Source organism: Homo sapiens, chromosome 6 (genome assembly GCF_000001405.40).
Source record: "Homo sapiens chromosome 6, GRCh38.p14 Primary Assembly".
Classification (NCBI taxonomy): Eukaryota; Metazoa; Chordata; class Mammalia; order Primates; family Hominidae; genus Homo; species Homo sapiens.
The window spans coordinates 152,502,452-152,526,278 of NC_000006.12; the positions used below are offsets into that span (position 1 = coordinate 152,502,452).

Here is a 23,827-nt window from a genome sequence, read left to right on the forward strand (position 1 = left end):
AACATACAAACCAGAAAAACCCTTTCCTCTAATCATCACCCCATTTGGTGATAGCTTTTTAAAATCAGTTGGTCTCATATTAAAATGCATTCAAATTTAATTTTTTGAGAACAGTATACTCAAAAAGCTGAGTCACTGTCATTGCATATACCAGTGATACTTGAAGAAAGCAAATACCTACATCATCCTCTTGCCCATCAGTGCTTGCATTGTGGATGTCAGGATAATGTTTCAGAAACTGGGCTACATAGGTCATAATAGATTTCTCATCTGGTTTATCCACATCAACGTCTGAAAAAACAAAAAAGAAATGTGAATAAACTAATTAGCATTCATTGGATTTTGATAATACAAGTTTGGTATCTAGCTATCACACCAAAAACGCTAAACGCAGAAGGAAAACAGAAGTACTATTTAGAATTTTGGACGGGGAGGAGGGTAAACCAAATTTAGTCTGGATATTACATGATGAAAATTATATTACTCAGAAAGATGACACATTTAAACAAACAGCGTTTAAGAAAGTAGCATATGTGTCATTTAAATAAGACATACAGTATCTCATGAGACAGTATCTCCCAAATGGGTGAGATACGGTATGATTCCTCATACAGTATCTCATACTAGTTCTATTCATACTAGTGAATAGAACACAAATAATATGTAAATTTTAGAACTGGCATAAATAGGAAGTACAAAAATGCTTACAAGTGTGACACTGAATGACATATATATATATATACACACACTATATATGGCCAAATATAGACAAGCCCCCTCTCTGCCCCCACAAATTTCACTTTAGAAGAAAGGCAGATGCCTTATATTCAATTTCCTGGGCAGCCTCCTCTTTGTGGAGCATTCTCTCCAAATTACAGTGCTTTGAGCAATCAAGCACTCTTCGAGGGAAACTCTTCGAGGGCCTGAGAAGCCCTCAATCACTGTGATTTTGAAGCTTATAGATATTTATCTAATACAAATGGTAAAAATCAGGCAAATAAATTCATACAGATTTAGTAATTATACATGGAGGTAAGAATGCATAAGTAAAACGTGTTGTAAACAAGTCTTTTAAATATCAATTTTAAAGGCAATAGAAATGATTATATCTTACAGAGCAATTTATAGAGCAGAAAGCAAACCAAATTGCCACAATGAAGTATAAAACTAATCTAATCTTTCGTAAAAGTTCTTTTTGATTAGAGGTATAATTTCTAGAGACTTGCAATATAGGGTTTAAAGAGTGCTGCAACTCACACTATTTAAAAGGAAGCGAAGATAATGTATTCTGAAATTTGTTAAATGACTCAAAGGTGATGAGTCAAACCGTTGAGTAAAACTTTTTTTTCAGGAAATATGAAAGTGGAAAGAAAAGCAATATTTAATACATGATTTAACATAGTATATGCTGTTAACTATATATGTAAATCATAAAATAATTATTATAATAGCTTTTGGTCTACCTAATCTGTATTCCTAAAAGCTTATACATCCAAGTTGGCTAAATAACTTTTTGAAGGGGAAGTTCTCATTAAGAAATTAGAGGAATGTCTTATATCTAGGATAGCCTTGTATTTAGGCAACCTCAGTTTCTAATCATCAAAGAAAATATTAAGATCTTCTGGTCTGGTGGATATGAAAGAATCATGCATATTCTCCTTTCATCCCACTCTAGGAATAATGTCAGCTCTGATACATCCTCTGAAGTCGATGGCTGGAATATGTGTTTTTCCCTTGATTTATTTTTGTGCAGAAAGAAGGCAGAAAGCCCTTTGATATCCTAGTGAAAGTGGGGTGGGGGCAGAGTGGGACTCAAAAACAGAATCCTAAAATGGCAAGGAATCTCCATGGGGCCCTTCATCTCAGAGGAAACCTAACTGGGTCTCTGTAACTTACTCTTGGAAACACAAGTCTATCCTCTTTGTTTTAGAGCTAGGGAAGTTCAGTCTGAAATTCCATCTTTAAAAATAATTTTTGGTGGATCCCATGAAAACAGAGAGTAGATTGGTGGTTACCAGAGGCCAGGAAGGGTAGGGAGGAGAGGGGAAAAATAATTTGCTTTCACTGTATATTTACATTTCTGCATTCACTGGTAGAAATGTCCATAATTGCCAGCCCAAATAAGAAATTATCTGTGACATTTGGAAACTTCACTTTGATACTTTTGTTTCAACATAACAACTTATTAGTTTATAAAAGTTTATCAAAGGCATCTAAATTGTCTTTTGAAGGCTTGAAAGAGTTCACTCCATTTCCAAAAAGTCTTAGCACTCACGCCCTTACCAAAAAACGTGCCAAACAATTGAAATGACAAATATTAGTCAAACATTTGTGAAGTTTGCTGATTGACACCAAAACACTGCATGGTTAACAACATTTCTAAGTATGAATAATCTACATCTTTCAGACCTCTGAGATTATATAGAGTAATTATATTATCCTGTCACCTACCCCTCATACACACACTTCTAAAACTTTCATTCCACCCTTAAGTATATTAAGTCCAGTTCACCCGACTGACATACCAATGCCAAAGTGCTGTTTGGAGCAATGGGATCATATTTTACCCCAACCATGGTGGTAGATATTTATCCAGAAGAAAATTGATGCAGGAAAATACCATTACTTGCCACTTTTCTCCAGCTTTCTGGCCTCCAATAGAATCTTGGAAGTCATGTGTATTTCTGGGTTTAAGACATAAAAACCCTCCGTGTTAAGGTATATAACAGTCAATGAATATTCAGCCTACCTTCAGGATCTAGCAGTCTTGGGATCCCCAGTTCTGTTTCGGCGATAGTGAAAGCATCCTCCAAATTTTCTCGGTTGGATCTGCCTTTCACTGTCTCCAAGTCCACCAATTCCGGTCGAATGGCATGAATAACTGAATGAAAGGCAACCCCGCTTCTCCAACTCTTCCCAAAATCTTTTACTTCTATTCCAGTCTGCCTTTGTGTTATAAAAACATAAAATGATGTCACATTCTGAATAGATACAAGCACTTTCTTCAAGGCCTCATGCAAAATCCAGTGCTTTTCACCAACGATATGCAGAGAGCTGTATCAGTTCATTGTATTTGAGAAAAATTAAGGGAAACAAAATTTTTAGGGGGCAACAAGATAAGATGTCGAAATTCTGGTTCTATATTTAGAGATTTCTATGTTGGATTTTTCAGCAATTAAGATAGTTAAGTTAAAGCGTATTTTTACATTTATTTTATACTCAATCCCCTACAGTCCTCCGCTCTACCAGCTGAGCTATTGAAGGATGTTTACATTTATTTTATAAAGAAAAATCAATTTAGAGAAAAATGTCTGAAAAAATTTTAAGAAACCAAATTATAAAGATGCCAAAAGTGACAGTAATTAACCACTGTAAATTTTTGTAGAAAGAGCTAACACGTTTCTAATGGGAAGCAGCACTGTGTTGTACACAGGTTATCACAGACTAAGATAATGTGGCTGAATACTTTCAAATGCAGTAGAATAGACAAATGCAAATATTGCAATTATATCTCAAAGTGTTCACAAAGGACCCTGTATTCCACCTAAATGCAAACAATAATTCCAATTACTCCACCAATAAAATTGTTTTTAAGCTCCTTTTTGGTAATTGTCTTGAGGGCAAAGCCGTGGTGGTAAATCTTTTTTCTTTGATGGCGGATTTGATTAACTCAAAGCCAGTTATTAAGAAACTGAATCAAGTTGGTAGCCATATTTTGCCCTTGGAAAAGAGAAGCGAGGCAAGCTCACAATGAATGATTTTTTTTCCTACATGTAACTTATCAATTATAAAGGCAGTTCCGAAAACAGAGTTGTAAAGATGATTTTGAGCATCGGCTGCACCCCTTGAATAAGTGGAGGGCCTGCAAATATGATCACTTAACTAGGGAACATTCAATGGATAAAGTCATCTAGTAGCTTCTTTTTAAAAAGTTAGTCTCATTAACCTTAGAGATGTCTCTAACTAAAGCAAAAATATTGCTCAATTAATTTTTACTAGAATCTCAAAATTTTCATGAAAAAATACAACCTGAATGGTATGCTGATTAATATAATAAGTTTGTAAGTGTCCATTATTATTATTATTATCATTATTATTATTATTAAGACAGAATCTCACTCATTCTGTTGCCCAGGCTGGAGTGCAGTGGCACAGTCTCGGCTCACTGCAACCTCCACCCCCCAGGCTCAAGGGATTCTTGCACCTCAGCCTCCCAAGTAGCTGGGATTTCAGGCATGTGCCACAATACCTGGCTAATTTTTGTATTATTGAATACAAAAAATACAAAAAATCAATAAGAATACAAACATTTTGTATTATTCATCATGTTGGCCAGGCTGGTCTCAAATTCCTGGCCTCAAGTGATCCACCTGCCTCGGCCCCCCAAAGTGCTGGGATTACAGGTGTGAGCCATTGTGCACAGCCTATCCTTAAATTTTATTGTAGACAACTTATCATTCACTTTAAAACATGTTTTACCAATGTACACTGTTTGCATAAAATATATTATGCATCATTGAGCTTGATCATTGGCTTCATCAATAAATATCCTAAAAACAATTTTATGAGACTCCAGAAATTGTAAAGTAATCTTGAATCTTCTCTAATTTTCAAGCTTGTCTCTGGTAGTACAGATATAATTTTTTTCAGCAGACAGCTGACAGTCATGCAGGTTGAACAGTATGTCCTTTCTATCTACTCATTTGTAATCCAACTCTGACTTCATTTTATTTTTCTTTGTCCACATTTCCTCATTTAAAAATGTTTTTTATCTTGTTAAGCCACCTCAAATTAGTTTTTAACAAAATTAAGTGGGGTGTAAATAAATAATTAGCTAATAAATATTCACCATGTAATTAGCTATTTCTAATTTTCTTGAACTTATGTATTGTTTTAGACATTTTCAAAGAGAAATACATAATATGCTTTTCTAAATATTTACTGTAATGAAATAATTAAAAAGTTTCAGCACATTTTATTTCTTCTATATTTGTTGAAAAAATATATGTAGGTATGCACACACACACATACACACACACTGTTTCCTATTGTAACAGTTAAAGTAGTAGGTAATATTCCTTAAAAGTTTTAGTTTTAGTTCAAACCTCTTATTTGAGAATTTTAGATATGAACCAAAAGAAAGACACAGCATTTAAAGAAGTGATGAACAGTGCCCAATTTATAAGCATTTCTGACCTCTAATATGTATTTACTTCAAGCTGCTTTTAAATAACTACATATATGCATATATTTATTTATTTTGTTACCTTACTAATTTTTGTCAGAAAATATAATTGTTCTTCTTATAAATGTGACAATAGTTATGCAAATGTAAGATATGCTATAACTTAAAGCTTTTATTTCTGATAATATGTATTGATAGTGGATGAAATTAGTTTTAGCAATTAGAGGGCTTAACTATCTTATGTTACTGAAATCATTTTTAAATTTATTTCTCAAATATTTTTAAACTTTATACGAAAACAGTGGATACATCCTGATAACTAGTCTAGTGTTTACTGGATGTTTTATCATTTCCCACCATCTTCAATCTTATGAGTGTGATGAACTTCCAAACTAGAGTCCCACGAAATATTATGATTTTAGGAATAACATCACTCATACCTCAAAATGGATACAGATTCTAAAGTCTTTTACACATGTTAGATAATAAGTTGCTTGAAAAGTACATACTGGGATAGTGTAAAAAGCAGTTTTTAGAAAAAATTATCAACAGTTTGGTAGCATCATGGAATCATGTGTTCATTACAGAATTTTTATGGCAGAGAAAAGTCATCGCCCCAAACCTCTACAATTTATGCAGCTACAAAAGAAATGGATTTTATTGCTTGCTCACGGGTGGAGAACCCTCAGGCCCAGGATTCTGGACATTGGCCCAGATAAGGAAAGTAAAACTTCCACTGATGTTACCAACATATAAGTTGTAGCAATGACTTTGAGCTGTCACCAGACTCTTGCACATCTTTGAAACCCAACATAGCATGCATGAAACTAAATTAAATGCTGGATAACTCCAACAGCATTAAATTTGAGTTTACTTCAAGCTACTGTTTTATTAAAAGAAAATCAATTTGTTTTTGGTTAATTTAATGTCGTGTGAAGCAATGGACCACAGAATATCACCTTGACATTATTACAAAGTTTAATTGCAATAGCATCGTGACACATCAGTGTGCAGTCACCAGTCTTCTCCCTGCCCAGTTAAGTTGTAAGAGAGATTAGTAATGCCACTGTGGATGCAATTAAACAGTGTTCCAGCAATGTGGGAAGGGTTTTTTATTTCATTTCTACTTCAGATTCTAAAGAGCCACAAAGCTTTGTTTTCAGAAATATATTTGACTACAACTTGAATCATGAAAACATAGCCCAAATTAGAAAACCAGCAACACACTTTAAAAGTTAAACAAAACAACATAAACTAGCAACACTAATTACATCCTTTGTTTCTCTTTTTATTTTTTTATTTTTGCTCTTCAAACACCTTAAAAATAGAACTCCCTATGTTTAGTACCTCAATATTTTATAAGTACTTGTTTACAACTATTTTCCAGAAGTAGAGAATCAAATTTAGATTACATTTAAGCATGCAAAACAAGATAAAAAATGAGTAATTTTACATGTTGTTTAGGAAAATCAAACAAAAGCATACTCTACATGAAAGGACTTACCCCTGATCACATCAGACTACAAAATACTTATATAATCAACTGAAAACTCCATTGAAATTGCTATGAGAAAGTACTTTTTGAGAGCACTCTTTTTCTTTTTTCTTTTTCTTTTTTTTTTTTTTTTTTTTGAGATGGAGTCTAGCTCTGTCGCTCAGACTGGAGTGCAATGGCACAATCTTGATCTCAGCTCACTGCAACCTCCACCTCCCAGGTTCAAGCGATTCTGGTGCCTCAGCCTCCCGAGTAGCTGGGATTACAGGCACGCGCCACCACGCCCAGCTAATTTTTGTACTTTTAGTAGAGATGGGGTTTCACCAGATTGGCCAGGCTGGTCTCGATCTCCTGACCTCAGGTGATATGCCCACCTCAGCCTACCGAAGAGCTGGGATTATAGGCATGAGTCACTGCGTCTGGCTGAGAGCAGTCATTTTCTATCCACTATTATCATATAAATGTATACACATGTAAATTTATTATGCCTAGAGGAAAACTGAAAACTAGATGCAAATTCTCAGCTCACAAAGCTAGAGTTGACAAAAAAATCTACACTCTAGATAAAAAATGAGACCAAAGGGAAAAAATTTAAAAACTAAAATTGCTAGAAAGTTTCAGAACATAAAAAAAAAATGTTTTTGGAATGTGTACCTTAGTTCACACAGTTCTTAAATAGAACATAATAGTCTCATGAAGAGATAACCGAGTTTAAACTTCAAGTTTATTTATATAAAGATTATTTAATAGGAGCAGAAACTCTAAACAATGACCTAAATAGAATTATCCCTCATGCTACTCAAAGTTTAGGATTAGTCAGTTTAATTAATTAGGCCCAATTGCATGAATAAAGAAAAAATTAATTTTTTAAGAGCATTTTCCTAGAGTATTAGTGGTGATTTGTGTTTATATCTCAATTCAAGGCAAGAGTGAAATAAGCGCTAAAGCAAAGCCATTCATTCAAATGTCTCTTCACATTTCGCAATCATTAGAAGTTGCAATTAGTAACATTCATAACTCAATTTAACGGTTTCAAATTTAGACAAACTCTTGATACTTACTTGCCAGCTGTGTACTGAACCCACTTTAATAAAGCCTTCTTAGCATTTCCTTGGATCTTGGTGGTCACCTTCCGTTTACTTGGTGGGCTGGGAGTCTCAGAGCTAACTATGCTGTCCACGGAGGATGCGCTGCTGGACAAAGACTGGAGCTGGGGCAGGTTGCTGGTCAACTCTTCAATCTGTTTGTGAGTTAACAGCCAGCAAAAATATAAGCATTATCTTTGTTATTATTTCCTCAGATGTTTTACTTTTCCAGCAACAAATGAGTTATGTTAACACTCTTGACATTCCTGACAAAATGCAAGCTCTTAAAGGGCATGATTGATATCTTACTCCTCTTTGTACTTCCCATTGCACCCCTAGTGTATCTTACATACAATAATCCATATTTGTAGAATACATGAATGAATTAATCAACTAAAACCTAATGGTTAGAACAATTATTCTGAATAGAATGGCAAGTTCATTCCTCCCCTTCATGTCTAAAAGGAGTTTAGAAGTGCTCCTTTCCAAAGAAAAAAGAAAATTTTCCTGAGCTCCTTCTGCAACAATATTTCATCTCCATCTTGAGGTGCTCGCTTTTCAGATTGGGCACCTCTGCTGGAGTTCTTCGGGGTGTGAGGTTCCACATGCAACAGCTTTGCAAGGGAGAAGAGGAAATTCTCCTACCAAAGAAACAACGTATGTGTGAAAGGTACATTTCTGCTAAGTTAAGGATCAACCCCAAAGATATGGCAAATGAGAGCATTATTAAAATGGCCACCATGATCTCCCTCTGAGACATTGCATCAACTGAAAGAGGAACTGTAGCACAATACCTGGAAATATAGAATAATGGTCCACATCAATCCAAGAACTATTGAGGGTCGGCCATCAGCTATATCGGTGGAGTTAATGTTGACTAATTTAATCTGTTTAAAAAAGAGAAACTGTACTAGTAATGTACTAGAATATTATAACTCATTTAATTATGTAACAATTAGGCCTTTAGTAGACATCAATAAGATTTGATCATGCCTATGTAATAGTACATGGGAGTAAGTAGAGTGAGGCACCGAAACAAACAAGCACAAGGTTTCAGTGAAAATTTCAGGGGGATTTGTTAGGTGTACAAAGTAAAAACTATAAAATGGATTTCAGAAACTTCTTTTGTTTAAAGTTGAAAAAATATAACATGCAGGCAATTACCAACAAAAATGTCAAACAGAAAAAAAATGTTATTATTTATATTTAGAGGTTGACTGGAGCTTAAAAGAAACTGCAATGAGAAGTTTAAGAAGATGCACTTACTTTGAAGTTTGTTACCAAATAGCAGGTAACTTATGTTCCCTTTTACCTATAAAAATCAGGAGTTAAGAATTCTAAAATTTGTACTAACCGGTGATCCTCTGTGCATGGACTGACATGAAAAACAAAGGGAGAAGATAATAGATATACATAAATCATCTTTCAAAATCAGCATTATTTGTTCAAAGGGAATAAAGAGGTAGGTAGTCAGTTTAGAACCTGACTGTGGTAATACGTTTTAAAGAAAAACAAAGGAAAGGCAAGAAATAGCAAAACAGAGCCTATTAGCATTCAGTTCCCTACTTTTGGGTGATGACATATAAAGCATTAAGGAGAGACGTCAATCTATGTACAATTGACCCAAATTATTCATGCTAATGTTTTTCATCCACTACAAAGTTGTTTGCTAAGTCCCAACAAAATGGACTTACATGGTTAAGTCTATCTCATTCAATTTCTATAGCCTACCATCAAAAACATCCTTTTAATAATTCCTAACAAATGAAAACAAATAATAATAAAGTACCCTTCAGACCTCTAGCTCAATAATTCTCAGCCAAGATTTCATGAAGTGTGTTATTAATAAAAAGCTCAGATGTTTGTACATTTTTTTTATTTAAATTTGTGTCAGATGCAAAATCATTTCACAAATACTTTACTCTTGAAAGTTTAAATTTACTAGTTTTACATCACAGAGGTGGAGTAAAAGCTAGCACAAAAATCATTGTAAATGATTTGAGATATACCTATGGGATTTTTGTCTCACTGGTGAAGTTCATTCATCAGGTTCAATGACAAAAAATAAAAATTGAGAACTGGTATAGATTACAAACTTGTATATCTACTTCCTTTGAATCAATCAGTATAAGACGTTTAAGATATCTTTATGGAAAATAAAGAACATCAATTTTTTTAACTTTTTATGAAAGAATCTACTATGATCTCTAGGATCATTTTGAGAGCTTCATTTTACAACTTCTCTAGAATTTTCTCCACATCCATTTTAGCATACATACACAAAAAATTTATAATATATGCTAATATCCATAAGATTAATGAATTTCACAGGGGAAAATTTCTTCCTTTTCCTTGTGCATCATTTTTTAAAAAGTGCTATTGAATATAATTTGATTATCCTACCTCGACCCAGTTCCAATTGTACTTGAAATTGTACATTGTTAACATATTCAATTTATTACAGAAGCTAAAGGATCTTTTGCCTAACTTGTGAAGAAAAATGTTTTTCATGATTATCTGCCCCAAAATGTGTTTCACAATGAGTTTAGGGAGCACAGGTTGGTTTGTCTGTTTATTTAACCTCCCATCTCTTGCAAAATCCTATTGAACTTACAATACATTCTTAGTAGCCTAGGAGGGTAGGATGGGCAATAGAGACACATCCAAAGAGAATGAAGAATTTCCAGAAGCCAGAAGGAAGATGGGACCATATTGACAGATAAAACCAGAGCAGAAGGATGTTGAGCCAGATGTTCTCAAAGGGTGATTCCCAGAGTCGCAGCAAGCACGTCACCTGGAAACTTGTTAGAGATATAGAATCTGAGACTTCACCTTGGACCCATTAAACCAGAAACTAAGGAAGTGAGCCTCTGGAAAGTGTCTTAAAACCTTCAGGTGATTCTGATGCACATTAGTGCTTGAGAATCCTGGACTAGACCATTGTACCTGGCCCATGTAATCTGGAGAAGTCTGAGTTATAAGACAGAGGCTTGAATGGAATGAATTATTATTTGTGTCCCTCCAAAATTCATATTTTGAAATGTAACTCCCAATGTGATTGTATTTGGAGAATGAGTCTTTAAAGAGATAATTGAAGTTAAATGAGTTCATAAGCATGGGGCCCTAATCTAATCAGATTTTTCTTTTTTAGATTAGTCTCACTCTGTTGCCTAGGAGGGAATGCAGTGGCACGATCTTGGCTCACTGCAACCTCCACCTCCCAGGTTCAAGCGATTCTCCTGCCTCAACTGGGATTACAGGCATGCGCCACCACACCCGGCTAATTTTTGCATTTTTAGTAGAGATGAAGTTTTGCCATGTTGGCCAGGCTGGTCTCGAACTCCTGACATCAAGCAATCTGGCCACCTTGGCCTCCCAAAGTGCTGGTATTACAGGAGTGAGCCACCACGCTGGGCCCAGTGAGATTAGTGTTCTTAAAAAAGATGAAGAAAAACTATCATCAGAGTGAACAGGCAACCTACAGAATGGGAGAAAATTTTTGCAATCTATCCATCTGACAGAGGGCTAATATCCAGAATCTACAAGGAACTTAAACAAATTTACAAGAAAAAAACAAACAACTCCATCAAAAAGTGGGCAAAGGATATGAGCAGACACTTCTCAAAAGAAGACATTTATGAGGCCAACAAACATGAAAAAAAGCTCATCATCACTGGTCATTAGAGAAATGCAAATAAAAACCACAACGAGATACCATGTCACACCAGTTAGAATGGCGATTATTAAAAAGTCAGGAAACAACTGATGCTGGAGAGGATGTGGAGAAGTAGGAACGCATTTACACTGTTGGTGGGAGTGTAAATTAGTTCAACCATTGTGGAAGACAGTGTGGTGATTCCTCAAAGATCTAGAACCAGAAATACCATTTGACCCAGCAACCCCATTACTGGGTATATACCCAAAGGATTATAAATCATTCTACTATAAGGGCACATGCACATGTATGTTTACTGCAGCACTATTCACAATAGCAAAGACTTGGAACCAATCCAAATGCCCAACAGTGATAGACTGGATAAGGAAAATGTGGCACAAATACACCATGGAATACTATGCAGCCATAAAAAAGGATGAGTTCATGTTCTTTGCAGGGACATGGATGAAGCTGGAAACCATCATTCTCAGCAAAATAACACAAGAACAGAAAACCAAGCTCTGCATGTTCTCACTCATAAGTGGGAGTTGAACAATGAGAACATATGGACACAGGGAGGGGAACATCACACACCAGTGCCTGTCACGGGGTAGGGGACTAGGGGAGGGATAGCATTAGGAAATACCTAATGTAGATGATGGGTTGGTGGGTGCAGCAAACCACCATGGCATGTGTATACCTATGTAGCAAACCTGCACGTTCTGCACATGTATCCCAGAACTTAAAGTATAATTTAAAAAAATAATAAAAAAAAACAATGAATACCAAAAAAAAAAAAAATGAAGAGACGCCAAAGATTGATCTTCCTCTCTACACTCACACAAAGAAAATGTCATGCAAGGACGCAAAGAGAAGGGAACTGTCTACAAGCCAGGAAGAGAAGCTTCCCCAGAAAACAACCCTGAGGCACCTTAATCCTGGACTTCTTGCCTCCAAAACGCTGACAAAATAAATTTCTGTAGTTTAAGCCACCCAGTCTGTGATACTCTGCTATGGCAGCCAAAGCGGACTAATGCACAGCTCACAGATGTTTAAAAAAATATTTGAGACCAGGCGTGGTGGCTCACACCTGTAATCCCAGCATTTTGGGAGGCCAAGGCGGGCAGATAGCTTGAGGTCGGGAGTTCGAGACCAGCCTGGCCAATGTGGTGAAACTCTGTCACTACTAAAAATACAAAAATTAGCTAGGCTTGGTGGCGCATGCCTGTAGTCCCAGCTACTCGGGAGGCTGAGGCAGGAGAATCTCTTGAACCTGAGAGGTGGAGGTTGCAGTGAGCCTAGTTTGTGCCTCTGCACTCCAGCCTGGGTGACAAAGCAAGAGTCTGTCTCAAAAAAAAAAAAGAAAAGAAAAGAAAAAAAGTAAAAAATTTGAATTATTTGGAAATAAATTTCAAAAAACTCTCAGTAAACATCCATGTTACTAGCTTTTCTTCATAAATTTGAAAACTTAATGAATAAATCCATTACTGCTTTCCACTAGTTGCTTTCTACAATGAGGTATCAGGTACCTCATTCTCAACAATAATGCAAGTAGTCAACTGCCTGCCTTATTTAATACACAATTTAAAGGAATTTTAAACATTAATTACATTTTAATAAAAGTCCAGACAACTGGCTCTTCTTTGTAAATTAGAAAACCAGGGATCACAGTTCTTGCAGTTCACTGAGGTTACTTTAGTTGGAACTATTTGCTCCCCTCTTCCAGACAGGACGCAGGACCACTCAGTTCTCCTGTTACCACAGTTAGCCTGGAACTCACCTCATTCCTTTACATCACCTTTCTGGACCTCACAGGAATCTGAATTTATGTCCCCTGTCTGCACTATGATGGTCAGTGGTTGGCTCTCTGTATTACTGTGCTGAATGATCTGCCTGACACCTCATTGGAGAAAGAAACTTGTGGCAAATGGTGATGAATCTGTTCACCACAGTCACATTTACACATTTCTCATCAGATTCTTACATAAGTTTTTTCAATAGCCCTGCAAATAAGAGAAAAGCTAAGGACACTGTTAGGGTTTCCCCAGTAAAATGAGGAATACCTTCATTATTCCCTAAGTCAAACTAAATAAGAATAAAAGGATTAAATAAATGTCCTGTTATCAAAAGAAAAAAAATCCAAATGGAAGACAAAGTCAGTACAAAGATCAAAGACAAATTTCTAAAAATATGATTGAGACATAAGTTTTAACTTGTAAAGATCAATGCTAAGATAATAAGTGGGAGGGCACTAAAGAACCCTCCAAAACTCATTACTTCCCACAGGCAAACATTTTGTGAGGCCATAGGATACAGAAGTGCAAGAGAGTGTGGCCGACAAGAATGTTTCAGGGAGATGTGGGGAGGAGGTGACTTTAAAAAGATTAAGAGACTTGTGGGGAAAAAAGAGAAATTCTTTCATTTTGTTCTGATTCTCAAGACACTACTTTTGGTGCTTAGCAAATATATTTAAACTTTATTTTTTTTACTTTGGGTTGTTCCGTGAAAATGGACATTGTGAAAACAAGTCTTCTTTATAAACAATGCCTTTCATAGGTGAAGTTGTTAAAGTTTTCGCCAAGGCTTCCAAGTTAATAAGAGGAATTTTGTTTTTGTATTCCAGCCAATCAATATAACTCAGAATGAAGTAGGACACTGTTGTCATACAGCTGAAATGGGAGAATGAATGACCTGAAAAACTCTATCTTTATTTTTTATTTTTATTTTTTTTAAGAGAAAGAGTCTTGCTCTGTCGCTCAGGCTGGAGTGTGATCACAGCTCACCGTAGCCTCAACCTCCCAGGCTCAAGAGATCCTCCCACCTCAGCCTCTCGAGTAGCTGGGACCATAGGCGCATGCCACCACATCTGGCTAATTTGTTTGTTTGTTTGTTTGTTTAGAGACAAGGTCTCACCATGTTGCCCAGGCTGATCTCAAACTCCAGGGCTCAAGCCATTCACCTACCCTTCCCTCCCAAAGTGCTGGGATTAGAGGTGTGAGCCACTGCATCTGGTCCTGAAAAACTCTAAATATCCTGTTTAACAAGGCTTCATTCAGCTTTCAATGAAAAATTAATGAAGGGTGAGCAGAAAGAAGAGAAACCCTTCAATAAGAAAGAGATTAGTGTGATCTGGAAACACTGCCTGATATTGCATAAGAAGCTAAAATTGTTTTGCACACTATCCTAATGCCTGGAATCTCTCTTGGGCATGAAATTTGCACAATTGACTGAAATGTATACTGATTCATTGCATTACCAACTTATCAACAATGTAGATTATTTAAGGGCTAGAATCTAAGTTTTCTGTAAATTTGTATTTTCTAGAGTTCCTGTCTTATAGAAAGTCATCAATTATGCATTTGTAATCTAATTAATTCAGTGCATATAAACTGAGAAGGAAATAACTGAATGGGTCTATTTTCTAGGAGTATCTGGATCTCCATTTATAAAACTAGTTTTGGTATTACTAAGCACAGGCTTCCTCAATTCCCACAAATTAGAAAAGGCTAAATGTAAGAGGATTGGTGCAACCCTTTTGGAGGGAAATATGGTAATATCTACCAGAATTACATGTGCATTTACCTTTTGACTTAGCAAGCACACTTCTAGAAATTTACCTAGGAGATACACCTCCAATTATATGGAAGCACTTATGCACATAGTTATTAACTGCATCATTGTTTGTGTTTTAAAAATACTAGAAACAACCCAATTCCCATTCATAAGAGAGTGGTTGAATAAACTATGGCATATCTAGGCAATGGGACACTGTGTAACTGTAAAAATGAGTAGAGAAATCACTATGAACTGATGTGGGATGATTTCCAGGACATATTGATAAGTGAAAAAAGCAAAATGCATTTATGGTATGCTATCCTTCATGTAAGAAAGACGGGGATATATGAAAACACATCTTATTTGTGGAAAAAATGCAAAATGTATGTCAGAAACTAGAGAGACTGGTTATCTAAAGGTAGGAAATGCAGTTAGAGGCAGGGAATGAGAATGGAGTAGTAGGGATGAGAAAGGAGTTTGACTTCTTTAAATAAAACGTTTATTATTTTAGAACCATAACAATGTCCCACTCTTTAAAACAAATAAAATCGACCAGGATGGGGGTGGGGCACAAAATAGAACACAAACAACAACAAATGAACCTATCTCTATAACAGATAATGACATAATCCCACTGACGGGGATGGGGAAGAATAGAACTAACCTAAGAACATTTCAAAAATAGTTTTTTGACTGGATACTGTAATGCTAAAGACAAAAAGAACTACACACAAATCCTGTTCTCTAGTTTGTAAATCTGTTTCTCACAGGGGCATGGGTTAGTGACATACTAGATGTGTATACTAGGTGATATAGTTTGTATACATGTCCCCATTCAAATTTCATATTGAAATGTGATCCCCAATGTTGAAAGTGAACCCTGGTGGGAAGCGATTGAACAGGAGGGCGAGTTCTTATCAATAGTTTAGCACCATCCCTCTTGGGTACCCTCCACACAATAGTGAGTGAGTTCTCGTAAGACGTGGTTGTTTAAAAGTGTGCAGCACCTCGCCCCTTGCTCTCTTGCTCCTGCTCTGGCCATGTGACGTCCCTGCTCCCCTTCTCCTTCCGCCATGATTGTAAGCTTCCTGAGGCCTCTCCGGAAACTGATGCCAGAGCTATGCTTCCTGAGCAGCCTGCAGAACCATGAGCCAATTAAACCTCATTTCTTTATAAATTACTCAGTCTTGGGTATTTCTTTATAGCATGTGAGAATGGACTAACACACTAGGGTTGAAAAAATAAGTAAATATATTGTAGATGAGAGTAAGCCTTCTCATTATCAGAGAAAGCAGAAACAAGGACATAAGGCCAGAGTAAAACTTGCAGTGTTTAACTTGAATCAGAGGTATTAGTCTGAACTAATGTTTTACCCACACGTGCGAGAAGCTACATATGTATATGTGTATATACATGTACACACATACAGAGATAGAGAGAGAGAGAGGAGAGAGAGAGAAGCACAGATATATGTATATATATGAGTTAATAAACATATACAATTGAACAATGAGAGCACATGGACATAGGAAGGGGAACATCACCCACCCGGGACTGTTGTAGGGTGGGGGGAGGGGGGAGGGATAGCATTAGGAGATATACCTAATGCTAAATGACAAGCTAATGGGTGCAGCACACCAACATGGCACATGTATACATATGTAACAAACCTGCACGTTGTGCACATGTACCCTAAAACTTAAAGTATAATAATAATTTAAAAAAAGAAAATAAATAAATAAACATATACATTTTCTAATCTATTTGCTGAGAGGGCCTAGGAGAAATGATGCCCCAGTAGCAATGAAATACTTAGCATTTAGATCTTGGTTTCTAAATGCCACTCATCACTAAAAGGAACGAAGCCTCTTTAGAGAAGTGGTTGATTCCAGGACTGGGGAGGGAAAATTTAAGAAAAACCTGGAATATCTGTAGTTCTAGCAAATAAAAATCTGCTTGAAAAATTATGAGCCAATATTAAAAAGGTACAGGTGCAAGCCTGAAGGAGCTCTTAGCGGTCAAAGCTAGAACAATTTGAGTGACAAAATAATAACAATGAGTATAATGATGAATTTTAACTACGTAACAAAATAAATATACATGTGTCCCTACTGGAATAAATAATTGAATAAATAAGTAAATTGTGGGGGAGGACATCTTTTTCTTACAGAACAATTCCAATTAATAAATATAGAAGGAATGAGGAAAACAGAAAATCATTAGGCAAGTAGCACAGAAATAATTATTGAAGGCAATGGATACTAAAATCAGTGAGCAAAAGTTTGAGGAAAAGCAGAAACTTAGCATAGTCTCAATTATCTCTCCTAAGTTATTTCCCAACTATAAAGGGAAAAACAGTGACTCTACCATAGGAAAGCATGGCAGACACCACATTACCAAGTATTCAAAGTTAATGTAACCAGTAATAAGACATATCAGCACCCTACATTTACTAATATGGTGCACTGGGAAGAATATGACATCACTTTCTTGGGACTTTTTCCAAAAATGTCTAAACTCAACCTAATCACGAGAAAATATCATACAAACTGAAATTGAGAGACATTATGCAAAATAACTGACCAGCAGTTATCAAAAGTGTCAAGGTCATGAAAGACAAGGAAAGAATGAAGACCTGTCATAGAATGGAAGACACAACTAAATGTAAGATGTGATACTAGAGTGGGTCCTGGAACAGACACAGACAATAGAGGGAACATTGATGAACTTGGACTAATGTCTATGTTTTAGTTAATAGTATCATCCCAATTTTAATGTCCTTACTTTGATAATTGTATTATGGTTATGTAAGCTCTTAACACTAGACACTGAAATGAACTGTAGAAATAAAATTTCTTTTTTGCAACTTCTCCATAAATCTAAGAGTATTTTATAATACAATGATATTGTATGTCTAGGCTGTATAGATTACATGCCATCCTCCTATCTGACTACAGATAGGAGCCAATACTGAAAACATAAGTATGCCCACACCTTCTTCCTTGGGCATTTTGTTTTTGTTTCTCTCTTACCTTTCTTCCTTCGAGGAACTTGAGTGCCGTGCCAATGTTAGCCACAGCATGGATTCGCTTCATCCGGCGTCCTTGTTCACAAGGCTGTAAAAAGTGGGGTAAAAAAGGGAATGAGACAAAATCTGCATATTAAAATGTTAGTTATAAGATCTATTTAAATGGATTAAAAATATACTTGAAGAATATTCAAAAGCAACCAACATTGTTCACTTTCTATAAAGGTTAGCAAATACATAAAGGGGTGTTCCCCATGGCACTCTGAAGATATACTAATTCACTCAATAAGTGCATTCATTCTCAGATTATCTGTTAATGCATTTGCCTTTTAGTCTTCTGTATGTCTAAGAGCAGAAATTATTTACTGAGACCTCTGTTAGACACGACACAGTCTCATCATTGGTCTGTGCACAGCCCATTTATTTAGCTTATTAGTTAATTATTTTTAAAAATGTAAAACACACCCAGAACCTGCAACCTAAAACAAAGTCAGGACCCACAACTAAGTATGAAAGCCATATCCCAAAATATGACCACCATTAATCCCATCCTCCTATCTGACTACATTGAGGGCACCCGTCATACTAACTCCAGTCTAGTGTTTGCCATTTTATAGAGATTCATTTCTTTCACACGCTTTCTTAAAAAGAATGCTTAGTTTTTAATTTTATATGAAGAGCATCACTGTATTAATCATTTGAGACCTACTTTTCCACATTATATTGCTAAGATTCATCATATCATTGCCTTTCACTGTATTTCATTCATTTCAAAAGCTACATAATGTGCTATTTCTATACTCTTCTTCTGATATGAATGTGCTATTTCCAGGTTATTGATATTTTGATATGTTGATGATTATTCTTGTACTTCTCACCTTTTGTACAAGCACAGTTTCTCTTGGACATGTACCTGAGAGTAGAATTGCTGAGTCGAAGGGAATGTGACTTCCATTTGTAAAGTAATATCAAACTCTCCTAAAATGGTTGTACTACTTTTTATTCTGATCAGCATTGCAAAAATAATCCTGCTAATCTGTATCCTCTCCAACATTTGATTTTGACAGATACCTTAAACATACTTTTTTCAATTGAATATATGTAAAATGTATATGTACTCTTTTTCATTGCAGTCTCCATTTACATTTCCCTGATCAGCAGCAATGGGGACTTCTCCTCCTCTGTTCATTGGTGATGTGAGTTTCTTCTGCAAAATGCCTTTTCACATCTGTTGCCCAGGTTTTCCTTTGGGTTGTTTGCACCCATATTGTTTTGAAGATGTATTTTATATATTCCTGATTTAATCCTTTTACAACATGAATTGTGAATATCTTCAACAAGTTTGTAACTTCTGCCAGTTGTTTTAAAGGTTTTTAATTTTTAAGATAGTCTTAATTTTAATATATTAAATATAGCAATCTTTTATTGTCAATATTTTTGTGTCTTATTGAATAATTGTTTTCCTATCCCTGTGTCTAAAACATATTCACCCATGTTTTCTAAGAGTTTAGAGTGTTACTGTCAGTAGGTCCTTAATTCATGTAGATTTAATTTTTGTATAGGCCATGAGATAAGAATTCAATTTTACCTTTTTCTGCTAGAATGAACTTAATTTCCTGTTCCATTTTTTTTAACTTCAATAACTTTTAGGGTACAATTGGTTTTTCGTTACATGAAGGAATAATATAGTGGTGAAGTCTCAGATTGTAGTGCACCTGTCACTCAACATTTAGTTTTTGATCCCTCACCCCTCTCTTACCCTCATCCTTCTGAGTCTCCAAAGTCCATTATACCATTCTATATGCCTTCGTGTACCCATAGCTTAGCTCTCACTTACAAGTGAGAATATATAGTATTTAGTTTTCAATCCTGAATTACTTCGCTTAGAATAATGGCCTCCAGCTCCATCCAAATTGCTGCAAAAGACATTATTTCATTCTTTTTTTATGACTGAGTAGTATTCCATGGTTGTATATATATCACGTTTTCTTTATCCACTCACTGGTCAGTGGCCACTTAGGTTGGGTCCATATCTTTGCAATTGTGAATTGTGCTGCTATAAATATCCGTGTGAGGTGTCTTTGAAATAATGACTTCTTTTCCTTTGGGTAGACACCCAGTAGTGGGATTGCTGTATCAAATGGTAGATCTACTTTTAGTTCTTTAAGAAATCATACCGTTTTTCCATAAAGGTTGTATTAATTTACATTCCCACCAGCAGTGTATAAGCGTTCCCTTTACAACACTTCCATGCCAACATCTATTGTTTTTTGACTTTTTAATAATGGCGATTCTTGCAGGGGTAAGGTGGTATCTCATTGTGGTTTTAATTTGCATTTCCCTGATGACTAGTTATGTTGTACATTTTTTCATGTGTATTACTTATTTGTATCTTGTTTTGAGAAATATCTATTCATGTCATTTGCCCACGTTTTGATGGTATTGTTTGTCTTTTTTCTTGCTGATTTGTTTGAGTTCCTTGTAGATTCTGAACATTAGTCCTTTGTCAGATGCATAGTTTGCAAATATTTTCTCCCATTCTATGGGTTGTCTGTTTACTCTGATGATAATTTCTTTTGCTTGCAGAAACTTTTTAGTTTAATTAGGTCCATTTATCTATTTCTATTTTAGTTGCATTTGCTCTTAGGGTCTTAGTAAAAAATTATTTGCCTAGGCCAATGTCTAGAGATTTTCTTCTAGTTTTTTTTTCTAGAATTTGTATGGGGTTTCAGGTCTTAGATTTAAGTATTTGAGCCATCCTGAGTTGATTTTTGTATAAGGCGAGGGATAGGGGTCCAGTTTCATTCTTTTACATGTGACTATCCAGTTTTCCCAGCACCATTTATTAAATAGGATGTCATTTCTTCAATCTACATTTTTGAATGCTTTGTCAAAGATCATTTGATTGTAAGTATTTGGCTTTATTTCTGAGTTCTCTATTCTGTTCCATTGGTCTATGTATCTACTTTTATACCAGTATCATGCTGTGTTGGTAACTATAGCCTTGTAGTATAATTCAAAGTCAGATAATGTGATGCCTCAAATTGTTCTTTCTGCTTAGGATTGCTTTACCTATTTGGGGTCTTTTTTGCTTCCACGTGAATTTTAGAATTGTTTTTTCTAATTCTGTGAAAAATTATGTTGGTATTTTGATAGGAATTGCATTGAATCTATAGATTTCTTTGGGCAGTATGGTCATTTTCACAACATTGATTCTTCCAATCTATGAGTATGAGATGTGTTTCCATTTGTTTGTGTCATCTATTATTTCTTTCAGCAGTGTTTTGTAGTTCTCCTTGCGAGATCTTTCAACTCCTTGATTAAATATGTTCCTAGATATTTTTTGCAGCTATTGTAAAAGGAATTGAATTACTGATACTGATATTATTCTCGGCTTGGTGGCTGTTGCTATATAAAAGTGCTACTGACTTGTGCACATTGATTTTGTAACCTGAGACTTTATTGAATTTGTTTATCAAATCTAAGAATTTTAGAGGAGTCTTTAGGGTTTTCTAGGTATCCAATCACATCATCAGCAAACAATGATAGTTTGACTTACTCTTTTCCAATTTGGATGCCCCTTATTTCATTTCCTTGCCTGATTGTTCTGGCTAGGACTTCCAGTAATATGTTTAAAAGAAGTGGCAAAAGTGAGCATCCTTGTCTTGTTCCAGTTCTCAAGGGGAATGTTTTCAACTTTTCCCCATTCAGTATGATGTTAGCTGTGGATTTGTCATATATGGCTTTTATTATTTTGAGGTATGTCCCTTCTATGACTAGTTTGTTGGGCTTTTTATCATTAAAAGATGCTAGATTTTATCAAATGCTTTTTCTACACTTATTGAGATGCCCATATAGATTTTGTTTTTAATTCTGTTTGTATGATGTATCACATTTATTGACTTGCATATGTCAATAAACACTTAGAATGACACATAAACTTCTTGAATACCTACATGAATATTCACATAAAGATTCCTTTAACCTTCAAGAAAATAGCTTAATTCAGGAGGATATATCTAAATGGCCAGTTATATCAGGTAATCAAGGGAGTATGTATTTCAATCTAATGACTCCCACAACCTAATGCTTATCTAGTATCTTTAGCTAATGCATATGCCTATATACATTCCAAATTGCCTGTTCATATATGTCTAGCTTGATTCCTTCCAAAGCAGAGCTTGAGACAAGCACTTGGGTGCATGTAGCTTACTAGGGAGGTGATCCCAGGTGGCAAGAATGAGGATGTGTGGAGAGCGAGATGGGGAAGGAGGAAAAGCTAACAAAGGATGTGCTATTGAGGGTTACTGCTATTGGCAACTGGAACTCAGTCCCACTGATGACTCTATGGGAACTCTATAAGACATGTGTAAAATATGCCTCAGAATCACCTGTCTCAGAATTACCCTGTAATTTTAGGGTGGAGCATTTATTCATAGACTCCCATATCCATTGGTTGAGGGTCCCTTGGTACTACTAACTCCCCAACACTTCAAAGCTGCTCTGTGCAACTTGTGCCTTTAAGAAAAGCCCTGAGGCAGAAAGCCAGACAGATACTACGAGTGCTTGAAGAAAGAAGCTGTCAGAGTATATGGGAATGTCTACCACTGATGTAGCTGAGATGAGACATGGGGTGCCAGAAGCATCTGCTACCTGGGAATCCAATTACTTAAACGACTGATGCAAAATTATTACCAGTTTATGTTTTTCAACAAACAACTCTTACAAAAGCTATTTGAGGGCTCCCTGTACAAAATGAATGGAAATTAATTTTGAAGAGGTAAAAATCCTCTTTTAAAAACTCAGTTATCCAAGTAATAATGATTGTGTCATTATTGCCAAGATACAAGTGATAAAGAAAAAATGGACTTTCAATTTTGGACTCTGTGTCTAGTGTGTTATCCAACATCTTGAAAATTATTTCCTGAATTCCTTTTTCCAAATTATGGTAAACATTATTTATAAATAATTTATGTTTACAAACTACTTAATGCTCTACTACTCTGAAATGAAAAAGAGATAAGCAAGAAGAGATAATTTATTATTTGACAATGTAGAAAATGTACTTTCTAGCTCACTGTTAATGTTGTTTTTCACTCTGCTGGCTCCACAGCACATAAAAACAACTCTGAACAGGCTGTTCTTGCTACAAATGATGGATGATGGATGATGTCAACAAGAATATGAAAAATGCCACACTGGTTTCCTGCTTAATTTTCAATAAACAACTATATAAATACACAGATATGGACCAACATTTCTTTCTAAATGGAAGACAAACACTTAAAGTGAGGAAGATGGTAATTTGCAACTAATCTTCTTGTATACCGTATAGATACAATGGTTAATCATGTTAAGTTACTGATGAAGTTCTTTACTCTTAATTGTAAGGTTGTTATTATAAACATAACATTTTAAATGCACTAGGGGTTTGCAGGAACAAGAAGGGAAATATATTCCTTGCACCTAGAAGTAGAAGTGCCAGCAGTGTTTCCAGTATACTACCAACCACGACAAATAACTTTCTTTTACCTGGGCAGCACATCTTAGCACTCTCAACTCCATAGTCCCCAAATTCCAAATGGAAACAATTTGACAAGTATGATCACACAAAAAAATTCTTACCAGTTTCTGCCCAGACAGGACCTCCAGAAGGGCAAGCAGTTTAACACCATCTTTCATGTCTTCAAAAAGATCGTCCACCACCATTGGAGGTTTCCGCTGTAAAAGCAAAGAGGAATAAGTGCAGAAAATATCTCTTCCCTCTCTGTTTCTCTCTTTCTCTCTCTCACCTTTGTTACTTATGGTGGTGAAATTTGTAGGA

At 35.6% G+C, this 23,827-nt stretch overlaps 1 protein-coding gene across 46 annotated transcripts in view; it reads right to left on the minus strand.

Annotated features, from left to right (window-relative positions):
* Nucleotides 1-23,827, minus strand: part of SYNE1 (spectrin repeat containing nuclear envelope protein 1) — a 515,676-nt gene that overhangs the window by 380,765 nt on the left and 111,084 nt on the right. For 37 of the 46 annotated variants that reach the window (XM_017010609.2, XM_047418503.1, XM_017010608.2 and 34 more), the window contains 7 exons: nucleotides 23,629-23,724; nucleotides 18,008-18,091; nucleotides 9,120-9,140; nucleotides 8,560-8,652; nucleotides 7,742-7,920; nucleotides 2,750-2,946; nucleotides 182-291 (listed from right to left, as the gene is read on the minus strand). In XM_017010609.2, the coding sequence (XP_016866098.1) occupies nucleotides 182-291; nucleotides 2,750-2,946; nucleotides 7,742-7,920; nucleotides 8,560-8,652; nucleotides 9,120-9,140; nucleotides 18,008-18,091; nucleotides 23,629-23,724 (780 nt within the window). The remainder of the gene's footprint in view (nucleotides 1-181; nucleotides 292-2,749; nucleotides 2,947-7,741; nucleotides 7,921-8,559; nucleotides 8,653-9,119; nucleotides 9,141-18,007; nucleotides 18,092-23,628; nucleotides 23,725-23,827) is intronic. The other 9 variants (XM_047418508.1, XM_017010610.2, XM_047418504.1 and 6 more) reach the window with 1 other exon arrangement.